The sequence below is a fragment of the Homo sapiens genome, chromosome 2, assembly GCF_000001405.40.
Source record: "Homo sapiens chromosome 2, GRCh38.p14 Primary Assembly".
Lineage (NCBI taxonomy): Eukaryota > Metazoa > Chordata > Mammalia > Primates > Hominidae > Homo > Homo sapiens.
Genome location: NC_000002.12, coordinates 143,612,043 through 143,636,347, shown reverse-complemented (window position 1 = coordinate 143,636,347; position 24,305 = coordinate 143,612,043). Strand labels below are relative to the sequence as shown.

At 37.3% G+C, this 24,305-nt stretch overlaps 1 protein-coding gene across 10 annotated transcripts in view; it reads right to left on the bottom strand.

The window, feature by feature from the left end:
• Positions 1-24,305, bottom strand: part of ARHGAP15 (Rho GTPase activating protein 15) — a 638,934-nt gene that overhangs the window by 132,005 nt on the left and 482,624 nt on the right. For 9 of the 10 annotated variants that reach the window (XR_007078554.1, NM_018460.4, XM_017004500.3 and 6 more), the window contains one exon: positions 12,081-12,215. Coding sequence is in view for 9 of the 10 variants with exons in the window: in NM_018460.4 (NP_060930.3) it covers positions 12,081-12,215 (135 nt within the window). In the remaining variant the exon portion in view is untranslated. Of the gene's footprint in view, positions 1-12,080; positions 12,216-21,900; positions 22,226-24,305 lie in introns of those variants that run through there. The other variant, XM_011511484.2, reaches the window with a different exon arrangement.

The following is a 24,305-nucleotide window of genomic DNA, read 5'->3' as shown; positions in this document are numbered from 1 at the left end:
GTAATGGTTTCTTCTTAGATGCCAATTAGATATTCAGAGAATAATACACACAAGGTGTCAAAGAATAATGTTACCATTGTGCCTAGAGTTAGGGACCTGGAAGAAAAGCTTAAAAGATTGTTGCTTTCATCTCTTTGTAAGACAGTAACCACCTGCAACTAGCGGGACAGATGGTACTAATTAGATCTGCCCATCCGTTACTTGGCAGAGGAATGGGCTGGAAATGGGAAAGGGTCAACCTTTCACCTGCTGGACACTCAAGGTGAGAAGAAAAAGGAAAGGGGCCAAGAACTAACTGTCTGGCTAGACAGTAATCATGGACTCAGGCTTTAGGTATTTGATCTTTTAGAATTCCAATTTCTGAAAAATAAAGGTGTTATATGTAATTAAATGGTTGGAAGTGGGAGGAACTTCACATTTAAATAGAAAACTATAAATAAGCCAATGAAAAGAAAACACTCATAATTATCCAATATAATTTTTTTATAGTTCATAGATTAAAATATATATATATATCTGCTGTCATCCTTCCAAACATATTACTTTTACTCTTAAACCAGCACCACTACTTATTTTCTATAATAGTGTATTCATTTTCCATGTTTCTGTTCAGAAAGTGTAGGTAGAAAATGTATGAGCCTATCCTTAGGGAAAAATTCCATTCTCTAAACCACATGACAATTCTCAGTGTGGATATTCCACTGTTCCAACATGAGCAGAATGCCCCCAGGAAATTTATAGTACTCCAGGAGCCATCACATCTAATGTTTAACTCTGCAGAGCAGTAGGAATGAGCCAGATCAAGAAAAGCCACAATTCAAGGTGCTTATGATAGTCCTAGAAGCTATTTAAGGAAAATTCTTGTATTGACAGAGGAGGGCTGGAGAAAGGACAAGTGCTTGAGCAAATGAGAATGTCTGACTGAATGTAGGCAAACAAGAGTACTGGGTAAAGGATCCATTCTTATTCCATAACAGGCTTTGAAAATAGCACGAGGCTGGGCATGGTGACTTGGGATTGTAGTCTCAGCACTTTCGGGGGCTGAGGCAGGAGAATTGCTTGAGTCCGGGAGTTCGAGACCAGCCTGGGCAACATAGTGAGACCCTGTCTTTACAAAAAATTTGAAAAAAAAAAAAAAAAAAAAAAAAAAAAAGCTCCTGAGAGGTTAATATGAAAGTTCTCTTGAGATAATTAAAAAATAAAAAGTCTACCTTTCAAAGCTAGAGTATTGTGTGGCAACTGAAAGAAAAAGTGAAACATTTCCAGTTTGGAGAACGTGTGTGTGTGTGTCTGTCTGTCCCTGTGTTCAACTGATAACATTTTGGGATCTACAGTGTTACAAATTTCCCAACTGAGAGAAGGTATCACTTTGGAGTTGGCTCTTCTGGTGCCACCGTGAACATCACAGATTTGCTAATATTTCATAGAAGCAAGGCAAGCTCAGGTCGGAGAAGCTGGATAGCATTTGGGTTATGATAAAGGCGTAAGTTCTATAATAAAGTGGTAGGCTTTGGATTATCCAAGTGGGGTTGGGCTTGAGAACATCTGGCAGAACAAAGGAGAAATGTCATGAGATGAAGGAAATGGGATCCCTGGGTCACGAAGCAAGAGAATATCCTGTCATATGAAACATGTTTGGTGCTGTGTGAAATTCTCAAAGCAAAATATTAAAGCAGAATGAAGATGGCCGCTTTAAGACAATAATTTGAAATGGCTTTTCCAGAGAAGTGGAAAGATTAGTTAGAATGGACAGCAAGGTCCTCTGAGACTGTTAACTAAAGCTCTGAGACTGTTAACTAAAGGACACTCTGATTATATTCTAATATGATAATACCAGTGAACTTGATACTGTGTGCCAGGGATTCTGTAAATAAGTGCATTTCATGAAATTCTTTTTACAATTGCCATGGTGAAGATACAACTTTTCCCTCCATTTTATAAATGTGGAAATGGAGGCCTAGAGAGATTAAATATTTGCTCTAGGTCTAGATAGTAAATGGTGGAGACAGGATTTGAATACAGGTGGTGGTGTGCGGTGCGGGTAGAAACTTTAGCTTAGCTGATGAGAGACTTCCCTGAGGACTTGACAGTGGAGTAGCAATCTGGGAGAGTGTGTTCGGTAGACAGATGGAGCAGTCAAAGACTTTCAATGTGCTTGGGGTATTCAAAGAAGAGCCAGGGTACCAATGGGCTGGAATGCAATGGGCAAGGCAGGGAACAGTAAATGATGAAGTTGGAGACCTTGTGGGTGACCAGATCATAAAGGACTTTGAAGACCTTGGAAGGATTTTTCTCAAAATGAAATGCAAGCCAGATATATCAGTTTGCGTGTATTTTAGAACTAGAATCATGCTGGGTTGGGTAGAGAAAAAAATGAATATGGGAAATAGGAGAGACCATTCTCCTAGAGATGGCCTGAGTCAGAGTTGGGGGTAAGTGGGCAGATATTTTAGAGGACTCATCAGTGGTGATCACAATGTGGTGTCAAGCAAAGCATAAGAAATTAGGCAGAAGCCTCAGTGTAGGATAGAAGGCCTCCCAACCTTCAGTTTTATTACAATCTATTGATGCAGTGAAAACCAACCACTCAATTCCACTATTAGAAGAATAGGTGAAGATAATTGCTTTCCACCAAGTTTTGAGGAGAAATTTTGCGTTTTGTTATCTATTTTTTAAAAGCAGGTCTATTCAGTAGAAGTAAGGATGCTAGGGAAGCTGACTCATGAAGGCTGCCTGGCTGGTTGCTCAGCTTGAAGAGTTTATTGCTTTGAAAAAGTGACCTTACGTAGATGGAAGAAAGGAGTGCAAGTAAAATAAAAGTTTTCAGGAAAGGCAAAAAGACAAGCACCACATTTTCTAATGGAGCTGATGTCTTACCACTCAATTAATTTCTGAGTCAAGGCCCAATTTTAATTCTGAATCACCTTCTAGTTTTACTTATAAAGGGCTTTTCATTAAGCCAAATTAAGGAGATGGAGGTCCAGTTGTTTATCATCTAGCACTAAACCATTCTTACAAAAAGACACCTGTGCAAGCCATTTGGCTCTAGTCAAGTATTTTTCTTCAATTTCATTATGAATATAATTAGAATGAGTTAAGAGACAGGCTAGGCATTAGCCATAAACTTTCCAGTTTGCGTGCACACGTGCACACACACACACATTAAAAAGCAACCACAACAAAAATACCAAGTCTGTGAGAATGTTAGCTTGCAGTGGAAACTAAAAAAACAGGCTTTGTAAAATTTACCTTTGTTTCAATTTCAAATTTCCTTGAAATGCTGCAATAGAGGATATTTTTATACTGCATTATTTTTACATCTCTGCTTTCTTTGTGATGAACCTTTACACCCTGCTCTTTCTCTGGTTTTAAGGCAATTTGTCACTATCATGCTTTCATGTTTAGCAACCGTTTTTAGTCAAGTGCCTTGCAAGCTCTGTTTCTTTTCTCCTAAAGAGTGTCATCATGGAGTTGATGATGCATCAGAAATAGTTTGACCAAAGGGCAAGATAAAGTCAAGAGTAAAGAAAATATTTGCAAATATACTTGACTGGCTTTTCCCCCCACAATTACCTATTGAGAGTATACTCTAAAGGCAAAATGGAATAAAGGCCATGGGGGGAAAAACCATTAGAACATGCAATAGGTACTTTTTGCCATAGGGCAATGTATTATTTTTATCTGATGAGGATGTGACTGATGTATAGACAGGGATATGAGTTCCGTTTAGGCACAGGATAATCTCTACTTTTGGTGGCTAATAGTCTGCATTTTAATGGTGCTCAGTTGATCTTATGGATGCCATTTCTCACAACTTGTTTTACTCCTTAATTAATCATTTAAAAAAAACCAGGCATTTAAAAAAACACTCTTCAAAGGCATGTGTGATTGTAGCCTTTAAATTGAAGACTTGTATGTAACATCATTACTATCTCAATTTAGCACCGACTTGCCTAATCTCTGTGTCCTATGCATACATACATTCATATGTATATATATATGAACACAATATATATGTTCATATGGTTTTATATATTACTATTAGTCAAGCCAGAAAAAAACACCAAAAGTGATGGCATTGGAATCATAAAATTGTTTTTGATCACGGAGTTAGCATTGATTGCATTCTAATAATGGAAAATGTATGGAACATTGCCCAGGAGTGGGAGGAAAAGTTATTTTTGTACACAAAAGGCAACTTTGGAAACTTCAACAAATCAACAACTGCCAGCTCACATACCCTGATTTGATTGTTACACACTGTATACATGTATCAAACCATCATATTCTACCCCATAAATATGTACAATTATGCATCATTTAAAATAATAAAAGCTAAAACAGCTAGAGAAAAATTAGACACCTTAAGGCAGAATATATTTAAAAATGCAAACTTCTAAAAATAATAACTGCAATGCCTAAGATTAAAAAAAATTCACTGGCTGAGACTAACAACAGAACAGATGTTGAAGAAAATAGTATTAGTCCACGTGAAGGCACAGCAAGATCCATAAAAGACAAAATGGATAAACTGGACTTTATCAAAATTAAAAATGTCTGCTCTTCTGAAAACACTGTTAAAAGAAGGAAAACAAAGCCATAGAATGGGTGAAAATATTGGCAAGTTATATATTTGATAAAGAACTAACATTAAGAATATATAGGGAACTCTTGAAACTCAATAGCAAAGAAATAGCCAATTTTTTTGAAAAAGTAGGTTTCTTAACTGCAGAAAATAATGGAATGGCCAATAAGCACATGAAAAGATGCTTAACATCATTAATCTTTAGTGAAATGCAAATTAAACCACAAAATACCACTTCACACATAGAATGGCTAAAATTAAAAACACTGACCACACCAAGTGTTGCTGAGGATGTGGGGAAACTGGAACTCTCATATACTGTTGACGGGAATTGAAAAATGGCTCAATGACTTTGGAAAACAGCTTAGCAATTTCTTAAAAAGTTCATATATACCTACCATATGAACCAGCTCTCCACTTCTAAGTATCACCAGGAAGACTAAAAGCATTTGTCCACACAAAAATTTGTATATAAATGTTCACAGATTTGTAAATGCTTCATTTGTAACAATCAAAGACTAGAAACAACCCAAATATCCATAAACAACTGAACAAATTGTGTTATCTTCAAATAATGAAATATTACTCATTAATGAAAAATGAACTAATATAACATGGATAAATCTCAAAATAATTATGTTGAATGAAAAAAAGCCTCTCCCCCAAAAGAGTGCATACTGTATGATTCCATTTATATAAAATTCTAGAAAATGTAAATGTATCGATAGTGACAGGAAGCAGATCAGTGGTGGCTTGGGATGGGAGTGCAGAGCAGGTGGAAAGGGGAAGGAAAGAGAATTGTCAAGGATTAAGAGGAAACTTTTGGGAATAACAGAGATGTTCTTTTTCCTGGTTGTGGTGCAAACATTTGTCAAAACTTATCAAAGTTAAGCTTTTAAAACATGCAGTTCATTGTATGCCAATTATACCTCAGTAGAACTAGAAAAAAATCCTCAATTATTAAAAATTAAAAATAAACTATAGAAAGATTAAGGAAAGGGTGGGAAGGAGTATATGCTCACCTTATGAATGGAAGAGTTAGCAGATATTGTTGAATGTTGATGAAACAAGAAAACGAGGTTTAGGCATATTATTTAGCTTGCAATTATAATATATGGCTACCACATACTAAAAGAAGTGGAGTAGAATGAAACAATATTAGGTAACAGATATTATCCATAGTTGATAAATCAAAAGTAGAGATATTATCTAGAGTTATGAAAGTAACCAGAAGAGATAAAAATTAAAATCACTAAATGAGGTTTCCTCTCACGAGTAGGTCAGGGGATATGATGTGATAGGGCCCAATCCATTGCTTTTCATCCTAACTTCTTCTGTAAGATTTTGTTTGTTGAATATTGTAATTTGATCAAGTAAATAATTATAAATAAGAATCTTAATACAATTAAAATACTCATATGAAATAGAAAAGTAACATTGTGTACATATAAATAAATTTCAAAAGGAGATATTGAGCAATTGATCATAGAAATCAGAGTGCAGGGTTAAAATGTACCCAGAGAAGTCAACATTTAAGGCATGAATGCTTTTAATATCTAGTACTAAACATTGAAATCTCACTCACTCTTGGAAAGTTCTACTTTATTTCTAACCTAAAACTCCAATACTGAAATTTCTGACCATTAATTTAATTCTAAACTCAGCTTTTAAAATGTAGAAAAAATGCTTGTAGTCTTATATAAGATGACATAGGACATATGGGTCTTCTGTAGGATGATATAAAATACAGATACTTGGCAATAGCTATTGCTCAAGGCAATATACAATGATACAAAGTATTTATATTTGTATTTGAATGCCAAGTCTAGTTTTTTGAGCTATGTGCATTTATAACTTCTCTAAAAACTAATTTCTTTTTAAATAGCTTACTAAGTGCCTAACATGGAGTAAGAAAATCCTGTTCTATTCTCATTCTCATAGTAACTACTTTATGAGCTAGAAATTATTGTGCAGATGATCTTTCCATTTCTCCAATATCTCCTGCTTTCTTATTTTGAGAATTACATGAGACAATTATTAGAAATGCCAATGAGTTTTTCTCCTCCCTTTCTCTTTTTCAGGAACTTTGGAAAAATGCAGACATTAAAACAGAAAAAACATTGCTTGTTGTCTTTTTTCTTTGGATCTGTAGAGTTACCAGAAGAAAAAGATGGGAACAGTGGTAAAGTTAGTACATTTCCTAGGATTTAGATCTACTGGAAATGTCTGGACCCCTGCAGGCCTCTAGCCACAAGATTGCATCACCTATCATAAAACTCCCTGGCTGTGCTTTTCTACTGAGTTCACATTTACAGTACTAATAATGCCTTCAGTACAAGTCATTTCCAGGGAATTAAATCTTTGCAGTCAGTGGGTTAAATCCCCATGAAATAACCTGCAGGTGACCCAGTTGGATTGATCTCAAGTATAGAATTTCAGATCAATAGTTGCTGTACTTGGATTCTGAGATATAAAACAATCCCTAGTGTTTTTGTTACCCCAATGAGTATTATCAGACAAGGGATTACTATGGCAATTGCAGGGTCTTATGATATTAATGGGGTTTTTTTTTTTTTGGTCCAAAAAGAAGTTATTTTAAAAAGTAAATGCCTTCTGTTCACTCTTCTTGGACTATGTGATAACTTTCAAACATATAATAAAAATTAAAGTAATTCAGACCGCTCCAGTGGTCATTAATTGCTTGTACTAGAAATAGCATTTTCTCCTCAGATGCAAAGTATTCCAGTTGGATGCAAAATTCTGTTTGGTCTAACCACCTTTTAACTCTTCCATGAAAGAGTAACAGATCTCCCAATCTGGGGCCAAATAAAAATGTTAACTCTCCACAAACTGGGCTTGGGGGTAATAAAAGAGAAAAGGGAAATAATGTTATGACAACATGTACCATGACATCAACTGACATGATGTTTTACTTGTGTGTAAGCAAAAAACAGAAACCATTTTAAGTATTTACACCAACAAAGGGAATTAATTTGATGCAGACAATTGGTTACCCATATAAAGAAGAAGCTGAGAACCAGATAAGGAAGAGTGGAGTAACCAAGAAAGTAGACACATCAGGAAGCCACTACCTTCTCCAGGCTGGAAAAGCAAAGAAAGGAGAGTCTGTGTCACCAGATGGGAGCTGAAACCAGATGGGCCCTGTCTGGTCAAAGCTGAAGCTGTAGAGGAGAAGGAGCCTCAGGCTGAAAAGCTACCTGAGGCAGATGGGTGGCAAGGGTGAACGGGTTGGGGATAAACTCATAAACTGCTGGCCTTTGTCTTCTCTCTCTTTCTACCATCTCCTTCCAGTGGCTTTGACCGGGTGCAACAGCATCTCAAGAGCACATGTAAGTTTGGAGATTTCTCAAATAACTTAACTTAAAACTGAGCTACCATTGGGCCCAGCAATCCCATTACTGGGTATACATCCAAAAGGAAACAAATCTTTCTACCAAAAAGACACAAGTACTTGCATGTTCATCGCAACACTATTCACGATAGCAAAGATATGGAATCAACCTAGGTGCCCAGTGATGGTGGACTGGATAAAGAAAATGTGGTACATACACACAGAATACTACACAGCCATAAAAAAGAATGAAATCATGTCCTCTGGAGCAACATGGATACAGCTGGAGGCCATTATCCTAAGCAAATTAATGCAGAGACAGAAAACCAAATACCCCATGTTCTTTCTTATAAGTGGGAGCTGAACACTGGGTACACATGGACATAAAGATGGCAACAATAGACACTGGGGACAACTAGATGGGAGAGGGAGGGAGGTGAGCAAGAGTTGAAAAACTGTTGGGTAGTATGCTCTATACCTGGGTGATGGCATTATTTGTACCTCAAACCTCAGCATCACGCAGTATACCCAGGTAACAAACCTACACATGTACCTTCTTAATCTAAAATAAAAGTCGAAAAAAAACCCCACAAAAACAGCATCTGCAAAATATAGCTGGCTAGGACCAACCCTCCTATGGTACAGAGAATAAAAGGGAAGAACTAGGATCTGAGGACAAAGAGGCCCAGACCCAGCCTCTTTGTCCTCAATTCATCCTGTCCTGTGAATTTACTTTACCTGGTTGGTCCCTTTCCATATAAAGCCGAAAACTCGCGAGTGGATCTGTTGAGTTTCTCACTGCATAGATTTTTACAAGAGGCTATGTAAGCTATGATAAAGCCCTGTGACGGGGTATAAATGTTCTTAAAATTTTGAAAGACTTTTTAGTACAATTGGTACACATGGAGAGAAAGTATTTCCTCTGGTGTGGTTTTTACCATTGCCAAGGATCTAGGTGGCCATTCTCTCATTGCTTAAGAATATTTAAATATGAATTACAACCTAGAGTTTTTCCTAGGTTTAGAACACAAGGACTAGCTTCAAGGTTATATCAAAAATACGTGGGTTAGTAAATGTACGTCTCTGTCCAATATCATATGTCTCAGCCCCATTACCCTGTTGGTTGATCCCTCTGTTTTACATATTAAAAAATAATGACATTCTACTATTCTGTTTTGAGTTGAAGCAAGGCTGCTGAGTGTCTTAGTCCATTTGGCCTACTATAAAAAATGCCATAAATTTAGCAATTCATAAACAACAGAAATTTCCTTCTCACTGTTCTGGAGTCTTGGAAGTATGAGACCAAGTTGACAGCCCATTTAATGTATTGGTGAGGGCCCACTCTCTGGCTAATAGATGGCAACTTCTAGTTGTGCCATTACATGGTGGAAGAAGATACAGGTTTCTCTTGGGCTTCTTTTACAAGGCCACTAATCCCACTCATGAGGGCTCTGCCCTAATGACCTAATCTCCATCTAAAGCCCCCCCATCTCTTAATACCATGACCTTGGGGGTGAGAACTTCAACATATACATTTTGATGGGAAACAAACTTTCAGATCATAATGACAGGTGAAGCCAGCTGGAATTCCTGGGTCGAGCGGGGACTTGGAGAACTTTTCTGTCTTACAAGAGGATTGTAAAAACGCACCAATCAGCGCTCTGTAGCTAGCAGGGGGATTGTAAATGCACCAACCAGTGCTCTGTAAAATGCACCAATCAGCAGGATTCTAAAAGTAGCCAATCGCGGGGAGGATTGAAAAAAGGGCATTCTGATAGGACAGAAACAGAACATGGGAGGGGACAAATAAGGGAATAAAAGCTGGCCACCCCAGCCAGCAGGGGTAACCCGCTGGGGTCCCCTTCCATGCTGTGGAAGCTTTGTCCTTTCGCTCTTCACAATAAACCTTGCTACCACTCACTCTTTGGGTCTGTGCCATCTTAAAGAGCTGTAACACTCACCTAGAAGGTCTACGGCTCCATTCTTGAAGTCAGCAAGACCACGAACCCACCGGCAGGAACCACGTCCTGACACAATAACCCTGAGTTTGATTCTTGTTGCCTTGAACAATGAAGGACGAAGTCTCCTCTCTCTTCTCTTCCAAATTACATTATCAAACAAAGCTCATATGGAGAAACACTTTTAGCACTGTTTGTGCACCCTCTTACATTTTTGAAAGACTTTCTTAGGCACTTTCTTATTCATTCTCGCCATAACCCATTTTATAGGTGTTGGCAGAAACCCTTGCAAGAGCCATCAATCCCAATAGTCTGCTGCCTCAACTCTGCCATGTTCCGTTCTTACCATGCCTATATTTCTGAAATTCTATAAAATTTGGACTTAAGTCTAGAATATCCCTGAGATGATCCTACTCCTTAGAGAAATTCAAAAGACATACTCTCATGTGGATTCGGAGGGCCTGCTTTCCATATCTCTCAAGCTAAGAAAATGACTTTCCTAACATCTTTAGAATCAGGTGAACTAAAGGAAGCTTAAATGATGGATATCCTAGTTATAGCCCCCAAATAGCACATACCGAAGTATATTTCCAAATGAGATCATCCTCACTTGAATGTGTGGAGATGATGATGTGAAATTTATATGACTTCTTTAAATGTACACAATCAGAAATAGGCATCCAAATGCAAAGTCCCTCCAATTTCCTACCAGAACGCTGTTCCAACATTGTAAGTTGCTTGGGTGTTCCAAGACAGAATATCAGAAAAAGCTGTTATGGAAATGCCTGCTTGTTTATTTTTTATTTCTTCTTTTCAAATGAAGTTAGGAAAGCATGCTGAACTATGAAACATTGCTGTTCTGAAGAAGTAGAGGGGTCATGAGATGAAGTCACGACAAGGGATAAGAGTTCCAGCCTCAACTCAAAACCCATCTTTAGAGTATTGTTACTGCATTCAACAACAGCAGCAGCAGCAGCAGCAGCAGCAATAGCAACAACAAAATCTGAAATTGTGAGCAAGCAACAAGAGAAAGACCTTGGGAGAGAAATTTCTTCTTTTTCTTGATACCGTTTTGCCAGAGCTTTAAACAAGGGTGAAGGCTTTGTGAATGACAGAATTAGAGGGCATGTTGAGGGGCTGTTTTCCAACACAGGACCCCCAAATCTCCACTTGTGCTAATGGGAACACTTCATACCCAGCCATCCAAGATCAGACCTCCTGAATACAGCAGTTTTTTTTTTCTTGGAGATTTGTCTCGTTAGGATTTTAATTAAGCTCCTGCCAGGCTTGCAAGGTTTTTAATTTTACCTTTCTTTCTTCTTTCTTTTTCTTCCTTAAATCAGCTGGCTTGCCAGGAAACTTTTTCCAAGCTGTCACAGTTACAGTAAGCATACCCTAAGATATTAAATTTAGAGACGTACCAGTAGTTGCTTCTCCAAGGATTAATAGCAGAAGTACCCTTCCATTTGGAAAAGATTTTCATTGATTCATTCATTCATTTATTCACTTTTACTTAAGTGTGTGTGTGTGTTTTATGAATTAAAAAAAAAACAGAAAAGGAAGCTTCATGGAGTGTACAATGACTACTGGTTAGTAGTAGATATAACTCACTCTCTTATAAAGTCACCAGTTTAACAGAAGAAACTTGCCATTACTTCATTTGATAATCACGCTGCTCATAAGCAAATTATGGCTGACTGTTTACTAGTGTTGGTGGGTGAAGGGTGAGTGAACCAAGAGAACATGATGTCTTAGTTGATAATTTAACACATATTTCATGAAATGTAATATTTAATTCACTTAGGATCCTTTTCGAGACCGCTTTGTATTCAAACTCATTGCAATTCTGAAAGTATAAAGGCAGAGATGAGGGGTGCACACAGTGAACCCTTTAAAGCAGATTTGATGAGACACTATTTTCATTTGAGGATACTTAGTTAAATTGGCTACCCTAAATAGGATGTCATATTTTTTTTCCTAATTAAAAACAAACAAACCTCAGATAATACTGCAGGGCCAGAAATAAAACAAGCCATCAAAACACAAAAACGAAAACGTAAGATATGGAGCATCGGGGATACTATCTGTTCCCCATGATTATTATTATAATCATTCTTATTATTTACTTAATAATTCCAGGATGTCAGGTTATTCTACCACCTGCCCTTTTCTGTGAGGTACTTACTGATCGCTTCCACAAACTGCTCAAAGAAACTGTAAGGGAAGAGCGGCTCAGGCAGCTCCCGGAAAAACATCTTCAGTGCTCCGGTGACAACGTGGATGTCCTCCCACTGGCTGTCGTCCAAATTCAGCTTCTCTTCTGGGAAAACACGAGGAGAAATGGAACAACTGGTTTTAATGAAACAATTACAAGACACTAATTATTATGTTAATGTTTGCCTACTATCATCAGCAACCGTTAACAGCCTTCTGCACCTAGAGGTTTGGTGCTGTGCATTTTTTTTTCCTCCCTCTTTCCGTAGGAAGGGAACATTTTCAATGGAATACCATCTGTAGGAATGCAGCTAACAAAAAAACAAGAGACACAAAGAGACAGTGCCATTGACACAGTATGTCAGATACGTTTATTCCCATAATGCATCAGTATGAAAATTAGCATCACAGCTCAACATGATTCAAAGCTATTTGGTTTTGAGGCCGAGGGGCTAAGAGTTGCCAATGATGGCCGGCTCAAGGGACCGGCCTAAAGGCCTTGCTGAGCCAACAGGAGACATATGCTAAACATGGCAATAGAAAATGAGTTATTGCTTTACATGTGTTAGCCTTGCTATGTACAAGGGAATAATGGGTAACACTTTTTCCCTTTTTTTGCCTGAATATAAAGTCAGCAAGGAAGAGAATACTGAGTGAGAAAGGATATTAATTCTTTTCTTACTGCTTCAAAATCTTTTTTTTTTAGTTCTCATCTCAGTGAGGAAAATATGCCCAGCAACAATATTAGACAGACCCCTGTTGGCCTACGTAGGCTATGCAAAGCTGTCAAAAATGATAACACACTAAAGACAAACCACAAGTGCTTACCAACTCTTTTTAGAAACAACAGAAATATTTGCTTGGGAAGCTTGAGTGAGTGGAGATGTTGAAATACTAAAGAAAGTAAATCCCAAAATGAAGGTTTTAATAGAAATAAAGTGCGCTGGGCAATTATTTTTGTCCTTTTCACCCTCAATATGAATGTCTGGAATTAGTCTCACCCAAGAAGTGGATGCATTCACGTCTGAAAGGGACATCTTGACATAAAATTAAAAGGAAGCGAGGTACAAAGGCACTGCTGTCGAGCCAGACGATTTGTCTTTCTAAACGTGCAACATGGAAAAGGTTTTGGATTCGGGGCTTCATGAAACCTTAAACTAATCATTTTAGACAATCTGGGGGTTAACTGAAAAGCTGAGAATACTGGCAAGCGCCGAGGTATTTGGTCAACTGAAAATTTGTTTCTTTACTGATGTCTTGGGCTCGCATTCACATGTCCCTTGGATGTCAGTTTTATGAATCCAGAGGAGCATTTTGCACCAAAATGTAAGAAAAGCTGAGAATTGTCACTGTAGGGATTCTCTGCATGGGCTGTTTTGCTAATAATGTTCACGTCCTTTTAAAAACATTAGCCCAAATCTTCAGCAGTTCTTTTTTTTTTTTTTTTTTTTTTTTTTAAATAAATGAACGATCGTTTCTAAGGCTTATAGTAAGTGGTGTTCCTGCTCAACAGTGTGTTTGCAAAGAGAAGACATGAAGGTGAATCTGTTTATTTCAGACGGGCTAATCTTCCCTTTCAGTCTTCATTCCTACCTCAATCATAACACAATAATGTGATACACAACAAAATCAGCAGAGGAGACCTTCTTTCTGCCCTGCAATCATTTTTGATTGATTGTATTTCAACAATTAGTCTTTTATTTGGCTACACACTATTGAAATAGGCCGACAGCATCTTAGCAGGCCAGCTTTAAACAGTCAACTGTTAACAATAGCATCAAAAAGGGAGACCTGATGGGGTTTACTGTCACTTTAAAGAACGGGGTTTTCACATTGTTGAAATCTGTCAGATATTTTGAAATGTCCCTCTCACTATGGTGCCACACCCCCTGCGTGCCCTTATAATAAAATTGGTTTTACTCCTGATTAAATCATTTTCTCCCTACCCACTACCATACTTCTCATAATGGACCTGTGTGCTCTACAGCTGGTGTTCTTCCCATGGTACCAATTCTTACTTTATCTTTTAAGCACTTTGCTGCTAAGATCTCATGCAGAGTGCTTATGTTTTGTTAAGAGCTTCATTCTTAGAGAAATAGCTTAACACATGTTCTAAAAATGTTGTACAACTTATTGCTTAAAACACATTTAGAAAATGTATAAGTACTGTAGCTTTGGCACTGAACTTTAAGTGGAAACCTAAACACACACACACACAAACACACACACACACACACAACTATCTCTACCAAAAATTTATCAGAAAAGTCCAACACAAAATGCCGTTTTGGTGCACAAGTTTGAAATTGCTAAAGGAAAGTGTTCAGCAGGTAAAAAAGAGAATGATTTTAACTTGAGCAAGGAAACAACAGCAGCAGCAACAAATAATGGCTTAACCAAAGGAAAACAGCATTACTATTACTCATTTCCACATTAATATCAGTTAATTCAAGTGAACATGAAAATCGAACATAGTGATATCTAAAGAAAATTTACCCATGAATAGATACCATTTGATTATATCTACTTAAAATACCATATAATATTAACTGTGTCCCTTAAACCAAGATTCCTACTATAGATTCCCATGTAGTTTCCATTTAAAGAAATAATAATAATTTGTAGCCCTTCGGCAAGTAGCTTAAATAGGCAATATGGCAAATAGTTGGAAAGAGTATTTTGAAATATAATACTAATTTTTATATCAAGTTTTCATAATCAACCAAGGTTAAGATCCCTTGTAAACCAGGTGATGTTAAGGCAAATTTTGCAAGGCCACTGTAGTTTATCTAAACATGAAGTTATGTCCATATAGTATGCCTTCTCATGAAGCCAACCAGTCCTCAAGATGAACTAACCATAACCCTACCCTGGTGTTAACAGGCATTATTACAAATATATTTGCATTATTTGATAAGCATTTTCTAACTAGATTCTACACAGTGATGATGTCTTATACTTTTCCCTTTTCTAATAGAGTAGAGTTTCTCAAAAGCACCACACTATTGACATTTGGGGCTGGAAAATTCTTTGTGGTGGGGGCTGTCTTGTACATTCTAGTATGTTTAGCAGTATCCCTGACCTTTATCTAATAGATGCCAGTAGCATTTCCCAGTGGGGATGATAAAAATTGTGTCTAGAGATTGCCACGTATCTCCCCATGGTGCAAAATTATTCTTGGTTGAGAGCCACTATAGTGAAGTCCATAAGTGTCTGTAGAAGTAACTCAACAAAGATTTACGAAGTCTACCATAGGTGGTCAGGGAACTAGAAAATTAGATACACACATATTGATATTTCCTTAATATGACCTTGAGTTGGTAATTATTCTTGACAAAATCATAACTTTTTATAGAACAAAATCCATATGAACTCATTCAGGCTACTTTGCAACGAAAGCGATAACCAACAATTACTTAGAGCTTACACTGTACCAGGGACTGTGCTATGCACTCTACATTCATTATCTAATTTAATGCTTTCAGCAAGGAATGAGGAAGATGCTATTGTTATCATCATGTCCATTTTACAGATAGGGAAAGTGAGGCATAGGTAGATTAAACAATTTTCCCATGGCTGCCAAGTGATGAAACCAGGATAAAGAGCCAGTAAGCCCCCACTATGTTTAAAATCACTGTGTTCAGACTTAATCTTGGCTGGCAGAAGCAGAAAGGGAAAAGGCAAATAAACAGTAATTGCAAATGGTAGTTGATTGACTATTATGTCAAGATTGTAATTTTTACATTTTATCCTTAAATGTCTAACTCGAGGCTATGCTTTTACCTGTAAACTGACTCTCATCTTTGGTAATTACAGACTTGTAGAAGGCACAGATTCTTATATAAACAGATACAAAACAAATTGGTAATAAGAAGCAACTGCATTAGGAAACGGGCACAGATGGAGCAAATTGTTAGGTAGCAATGGAGTGAAGAGGAAATATGATAGAGTAGGAAAAAGACCATATGAAACACCCACTCCAGGACTGGATTTACCACTAATTCATTGTATATCTATTTATTTATTTATTTGTAAAATGAAGATAGAAGGATAATTGTTGGTATCAAATGGGAAAATGTACCTGAAAAACATTTTAAAGCATAAGGAATCAAACATATCCAATATGTCACCAGAATGAGGCAGGTGAGTAAAGGCCAAAATGATAAAATAAAAAAGGGACTAAGGCAACTGAAACACTGAACAAACATTGTAAGCCAGCCTGGTTGTTTTAGAGGATTTATCTCAGTACGATGCAGTTTCTTGAACGGGATCAACAAAAACTACATTGCTACAAAGAACTACCTGGGCCTGGTTAATTTACAAAGAAAAGAGGTTTAATTGGCTCACAGTTCTGCAGGCTGTATAGAAGAACAACTGGGGAGGCCTCAGTAAACTTCCAATCATGGGAGAAGGTGAAGGGGAAGCCAGCACATCTTCACATGGCCAGCAGCAGAGAGGAGTGAAGAGGAAAGTGCTATACACTTTTAAACAGCCAGATCTTGTGAGAACTTACTATCACGAGGACAGCAAGAGGGATATCCATCTTCATGATCCAATCACCTCCCACCAGGTCCCTCCCCCAACATTGGGGATTACAATTCAACACAATTCAACATGACATCTGGGTGGGGACACAGCCAAACCATATCACATGTTATAGTCCAATCCTAGGAAGAAGTCTGGTTGAATCACGATGTCTCACAATCCTTTCAATCTGTGCTGGTTTCTCCTGGCCCTCTAATTAGGTTATCTTAAATCCATTTTGGTTATGGTTTTGCCTTAAAGCTTATAAACAGAATTAAAGATAGGTTAAGCTCCACAATGCAAATACCATGTGAATTTTATGAGATCACACACACATACACACACACACAACCTAAATGTTGTACCCAAACAAGGTTACCCTGAAATGCTCTTTCTTGAAGAGCCTTTAGGGTATCTTTTAAGTAAAAACTTATTTATATCAAGCTTTACAAATTATATTTGAAAGAAAAAATTTGACAGTAGCTATTAGGAATAATTTTTCTTAAAAAGAACTGAAAGATGAACCTTTGATAGCCATAGTAGGTCAATGGTAGTTTCCAAGGAACAAGGAGCATTTAAATATCATTAAGAGTTTAATTACTGTCCATGTATAGTGACTCATGCCTGTAATACCAGCACTTTGGGAGGCTGAGGTGGGCAGATCACCTGAGGCCAGGAGTTTGAGACCAGCCTGGCCAACATGGTAAAAAAAAAAATAACAAAAAGTAGCCCGGCATGGTGGCATGCCTGTAATCCCAGCTACTCGGGAGGCTGAGGCAGGAGAATTGGGAGGTAGAGGTTGCAGTCAGCCAAGATCACACCACTGCACCCCATCCGCCTCGGTGACGGAGCGAGACTCCGTCTCAAAGGAAAAAAAAAAAGGAGTTTACCCCTTTCCTCTTGTATTATATATTGCTTTGTAGGTATTGGTATATATAACCAGCAGTTGTGATATCAGGTCCAATTTTAACTAGACTCAACCTGTTTTAACCTAGTCTTTTTTGAAATATGCTTGCACTTGGACTATCCAGAATAGAAGAGTAACCAAGTCAAGAAAGAAAATCTTCTTCATGTGTTAAAAACAAGTGCTTCTTTACCTTGTAATAGTTTTCATAGCACTTTTAAAACCTCTTTCCAACTTTTATTTTATTGTTGCAATTTTAAAAAGAGGAAAAGACACCCTAGCTTTCCCAGGATACAGAAAGAATAGCCCTGATCTCATTAATACAGTGAAAAGAACTTGTTACACTATGAAACTCTCATAAAGGATGATGTCCCTGCTTCCAGCACAGATGACCATTTGGATCCCTTATCTAAAAGGCCTGCTGGGTACATGAAAGTCACATCCCAAATGGAAGAGATGCCAGAGGGATGATCGATCCAAAACATAATATGTTTGGCCCTAAAATCAAATTGAAAGATTAGATATTAATGTGGATAAAATGACACTGTTTATAAGGATATAGAAGATTTTTAGTTTAGTATTTAAAGGAATGGATCAAAAGTAAGTTGGTTGAATCACTCAACTAGCTCAACTTTTCTTGCTGTGCTGGCTCCTGAAAGTGATGGTTTGGTCTGATTTCTGGTGGATTAGAGAGGTTCTGCATTCTCAAACACGGTGATGTCACCCTGTGCCAAAAGTAGCATCTTTCTGTGCTGCACTGGCTAAAGCTCCTCCTTCCACACCTTGGCTGTAACATGAGACTTCATTGAGGATATTATCTGAGAAAACTAAACCAGTTGGCCAGTTAATTTGTTTGTTCACTTAATTGTTTTCAAACAAACAGAGATGGAAGGAGACTACATACTGGGCCTTGTGTTTTTAAAGCTACAGCTGTTGAGGCTGCTTTATGTTCCTCAAAGGAGAGGGCTTCATCAGGTGCTCAGAAAGTGAATATAAAGTTCTGGACATTTTACATCCTGTTACTCTTCCCTAGAATCATATTATTTTGTCCTTGGGGGCAAGCCAGGACAAACTCAAATAACAAATATATCACCCAAAAATATGCATCGTGCCTGTTATGTGCTGAATTGTGTTCTTCCATTCCTCAAAATCAAACGTTGAAGTCTTAACCCCCAATATTTCATAGTGTGACTATGTTTGGAGATTGGATCTTTAAAGAGGTAATTATGGTAAAATGAGGTCATGTGGGTCCCCATCCAATATGTATGGTGTCCTTATAACAACAGATTAGGGTGCACACAGAGGAAAGACCATGTGAAGACACAGGAGGAAATTGACTGCCTATACACCAAGGAGGGAGCCTTAGGAGAAATCAACTTACCGATACCTTAATCTCAGACTTCCAGCCTTTAGAACTGTGAGGAAATACATTTCTGGTGTTTAAACCACCCAGTCTGTGGTACTTTAGTATGGTAGCTCAAGCAAACTAATACAATGCCCCAAGGTTTTGAGCAGAGAAAGACAAGGTCAAATTTCTGGATCATACCTATACATCTTCTCAACACAAGGGCTATGCTACACTTGTGAAACACAGTGAACAACAGAGTTAGCTCTTTAGGTAATTCCATTTGAAGAAAAATAATTACCAATATTCAGAGAACAGATTTGAAGCTGGAATTAGTTGAAAAATTGCCTGCCTATTCAGGCTTAACCTATTTCAAATGATTTTCTCTACAAACATGCAGAATACTCTCCAGTGTGGTCTCCAGAGAAAGAATAAAATCATGATTGCCGTTTTCATATTCATTCTTTGTCCAACTACTATGTCTAAAGTGGAAATATTGCATGGTTGCCATCACCTGAGACTCTAAGTACTACTAGAAAACATTGGAAACTTCCTCAGGAAAAACTCAACTCAAGTCCAATCAACTGTCTATGGTCATGATACCTATCAAAGAGAAAGGAGCAAAGTGGTTTTAAATATGAAAACTTGTATGCAAAATCAACAAGATCTGTTTCATATGATTTATCACAGTAACCCCCAGGAAGCTCTTAGGAGTCCTATGTTTGAAAATGGTTCCTTTCTGGCAAGAGGAGACAGACCTGTGCGTAGAATAGATGGTTCTATTACCACCTGGTCTATAAAACCTGGTTTTCTGTGGCCTCCTTGAATTACGACAGAGGGAGGAAGGAAGTAACCACAAACTTTCTAAGATTTTAAAACTTTTCTTTAAAAGCTTTTATTTCTGAACATCTAATGGGCTACTTTGGCACGCCACGTTAGCTTGCTTTCGGTGTGCTTTGAGGTTTTGTGCATATCTTTGGAAATTATTTGAGAAGACCAAAGCATGCGCATGTCACAGGCTCATATGAAATATCTTTAGTTACTCTCTTGGAAGGAGGTGGAACGGTCTTCTACTCTATCCAGTACAGGAAGCTAGTTAGGAGCAAGACTGTCTTATTTTTATTTCTCCTCAGATTTCATTTGAATGTAAAGAATAACATAATAGGTGCAACTGAAACTTGCGAAGCAGGTGCCACAGATGGAAAGTATAACACATGTGTCATTGCTTTGTGCATTTTTAATTTATAATGGCATAACATAAAACATCTTCCCATCATCATAACTCCATGCATAATGCTACCTTATAAAATGACGTTAGTGACATTATGCTGCTCTCCAGGCTTTTAGATATTTCGTTTAGGTAGCTGAGAAAAGGTAGTCCTGTTTAGATGCAACAACAGCAACAAAAATGAACAGACTTTTTTCTTTCAGTGAGGATCATAAAAAAAAATTGATGTATTTCCTGGCACCCATATATATTTCTTTAATTCCTTTCTTACTCAGAGCTTCCAACTCTGTTCTTATTTCCATTCAGTCAAAGGCTTTTTGTACTCTATAGATACCGTACACAATGGTTCTTTTTATTTAACCATCTTCTCCAAACAGATTCTGAATTTGCTGGAATTCCATGGATGATTTCATACATTACGTACTCCAAAGGGGAGAGAATCATAGGATTAAATTTCGACAAAGTCATTTTTGAAAGCTTGCTTCATAGTGGCTTTAAATTTCAACACCATTGCTATTGTTCCCTCCAAGTTATATTACGTTTGCAAATATGAAGCACAGGGCCAAGTCAAAACCTATCTCTTAATGATATCTAGGAAATAAACTAAGTCCTATAAATTCCCATATACAGATAATATGTCCATTGTAAGCAAAAATGCATATATAGAAGTTACTTAACATTCTGGTTTCTTCACTTGTCAAATGAGAGTTCTTAATTTTGTGTGAGATTTAAGTGATGTAATATATGAAAAGCATCCAATGTAGACAGACTTTGGCAAATATTTCCAGAATGTAATATAATTTCTGGCTTTTATCATTCCCCTTACTATGTTGGTGATATGTGTAGGGTTAGAAATGGTAACATTGAAAAGGATATGGATTTGGGTTTTTGCTAACTTAGAATTTTCTGTCTGGAAGTATTTCTTCAGAAAAATTGAAATAAAAGGTAAACAAAACTGGTAGATTAAGATATTGCTACTCTCATTCATTGAAACTATGTTATCCCCAGATAAGACATCTGTTAGTTGTCAATTAAGACAACCAAAATGAAGAGATGATTTCTAGTAATTATTAATGATAATTTTTAACCTAAGTTATCTCGATTAGTTGGATTCATGGGAGTAAACTAAATTTTCTGCATCACAGGACTTTTCTTCACCACAATCACCACTAAAGCTCTACAAAGGTACACAAAATAAGAGTTGGGAGATGTATAAATTTTACAACTACTTGCATAAAGTAAGGTAAAATAGCTAGGTCCCTGTGCAACAACTTCTTGTTGAAACTACTGAACAACATTATCATCTTAATTATTCTGGCCTAAACAAACCTGTGGCACCAATTCCCGGTCTCTGCCGATAGTTTGTGATGCCTAGCTATCTATGCTGTTAATCTTGACTCTTCCCTACATTGGGTTTCATTTCAAACTTTGCTTACCATGTTTCTAATCCTAGCCTGAGAACCCCATCACTCCTGGGGCATGCCTAATTAATTTAACTATAGTGATTTAAACAAAGGGTCTCTCCTCTATCTCTGTCTCAAAGAAATTTGTTTTTATTTTTCTTTATATCCCCAGTGCTTAGCCAGTGACTGATGCACTCATTTTTATTAGCTATTCATATATTTGTACCACCTATCAAATTTTAACCTCCTTTGATAACAGAGGCTATTTCATAATATAATACCAACGATGATGACAATAGATATATGTATACACACACAGCATTATTTTTGTATTCTCTTTGTTTATCATTCTCTTTCAAAACACTTAACAAATACTGAAGACATAAGTAGGTTATTCATTCACTTATCAAATATTTATTGAACCCAAATTTTGTGCTAGGCATGTTATAGCTGCTGGGGTAAAAATAAGATAAATAAAGATCTAGCTTCTATGCTCAAAGATTTCATAGTATATAGGAAGTTTGGTCAAATAGAAAAAAATGTAATCAAGTACGGTAAATGTTATTATATAACTTCTTGCAGACTGCTATGGGAACATAGAAGATTAGCATCAAGCTTCATCTGGGTGTAGTCAGAAGGCTTTCCAGATGAGGTGTCACATAATAATGATCTTAAACGATGAGCAGTCAGGTGAGTGAGGGTGGTGCAGGAGCTGGGAGAGAGGAAGAGAAGAGATGAAGAAAAATTCAACTAGAAGTAACAATCACGCCAAGGAATGAAGAACATGATGCATTTGGGATGCCACAAGTTGTCGGAGACCCTAGAGGCATAGATTCCATATCTCAGGGTGTTGAGGATAGAAAAGAAGGCAGAAGGTACAGCATGAAGGTCCTTACAACTGAAAGAGTCTGGATGACCATAAGCAGGGGAGCAACATTCTAGAAAGATGCTCTGGCAGTAGCATGTAGGATGGGTTGGAGTGGGCGTATAGAAGAGGGGTGGTGTGTCCAAAAAGACACAATGAGCAAGAAGCTCAGCTGAGAGGCTCTGATGTATTGAAATACTGGATATTCACTGTGGAAAAAAATGCTTTTAAAAGAAGTCAGTTAATAAGAAACAGGTGCAGAGAAAGAAGTCTAGAAAACTGATGGCTAGCATTTACAAAGGATTAGAGTTCAGAGACGAATTTTTGTGTATCACATTTATTGTAGGTTCAGGGAAGTCAAAATATTCTATTTTCCTGAAGTTTATAAAGACCTGCTGGTAGTTTGCAAATCAGAATCCATTTGGATTATCTGACCAGAGATAAGACTTCAATGGTGTTTTAGTATCATAAACTACTTTACGGATGCTACAAAAGGGAATTACAGTTAATTGGATTATGTTGGTCTCCACATGCTGATTGTAAGGAAATAAAATATAAAAGTGTGACTATTGCTAACAGGTCATATCTATCATCAACCATGGGATTTGCTTTTTTACTTACCAATAAGATTAATTTCTTCTTAACAATCTTCCAATTTGAAGTCATTTTAATTATAGAGTTTAGAAAATTCAAAGGAAAAGGCAAACCTACTTTCAATGTATTATTAATAATTGACCTCATTTTTATTCATCTTTATGATGAGGGAAAAAGAAATGGATGGTTTGTTTATTGTTTAGAAGATTTTTACTTACTTAAGATCCTTTTGCAATCTTTCTTTGATCTCCATTTAATTAAAAATTTTATTTACTGGATTTCTATAAAGTGCTAAGCCCAGGGCTATGTTTCTGGGGATTCACAACAACGTGGTCTCTGCTTTCAAGGAAACTGACATCTCAAAAGGAGATAGGCCTACAAACTTTAAGCGTCATTGAGCATTGTAGTAAAGGTATAAACTACTAGAAAACCAATAATAGTTGAGCACTTCTCAGGCACTATTCTAAGTGCCTCACATGCAGGAATTCATTTAATCCTCACATCAACATATGCTGGATGTACTGTTATTAGTTCAACTTTACTGATGGAAAAGCAGCTCCAGAGATCAAGGAACTTGTTCAGGTTCACTCAGGTATTTAGTAGCGGAGTCCAGGCAATCTGGCTCCACCTAAAACCTCAATCATTCTGCTAGTGATACAGGACAGGTAAACTCCAAATCGGGCCTCACTGGGATGCCTTTTGGCTTTGCCCAGGTCTGCCCTGTCCCTGCTTTAGCTAGTCCTCATTTTGGTTTGGTGTCTGAGCCTCGCCTCTGTGGTTGAGTCCTGCCTCCTATCTCATGAACACAATGTGTGGAATGGTTCATTCTGACAGGTGACAGATGAAACGTCTCCCACACAATGGCAGTGAGAAGTGCATAGGATTTTGTTGAACTGAGATGGGTGAGGAAGGATGTCCCAGAACCAGCTATATCAGCATCACACACAGGACATTTAAGGTGAATTATCAAGACCTACCTCAGTTTTAACTGAAACAGAGGCTTTTGGATGCAACTGGCTGTGTGATTGCATTTCTACAAATACTAATTAGTCTATGATTTAACAAGTCCTCCAGGTGATTTTGATGCATGTTAAACTCTGAGGACCACTGTTCTAGCAAAGAGGTATGAAATGGATCAAAATTTGATATTGGCAAGAGGCTTCATTATGACCAGTGCAAAGGTGAATGATGAAATGTAATGAGAACTTAGCTTGGAAGCCAGGGAAAAGTGTAACTGTTATGCTAATAGATTAAATGGTCTCTGTTAGATGTGAAAGAATTGTCAAAAGTTTGTATGAGGAAATATCCAGACTGTATTTCACGAAGATAAATC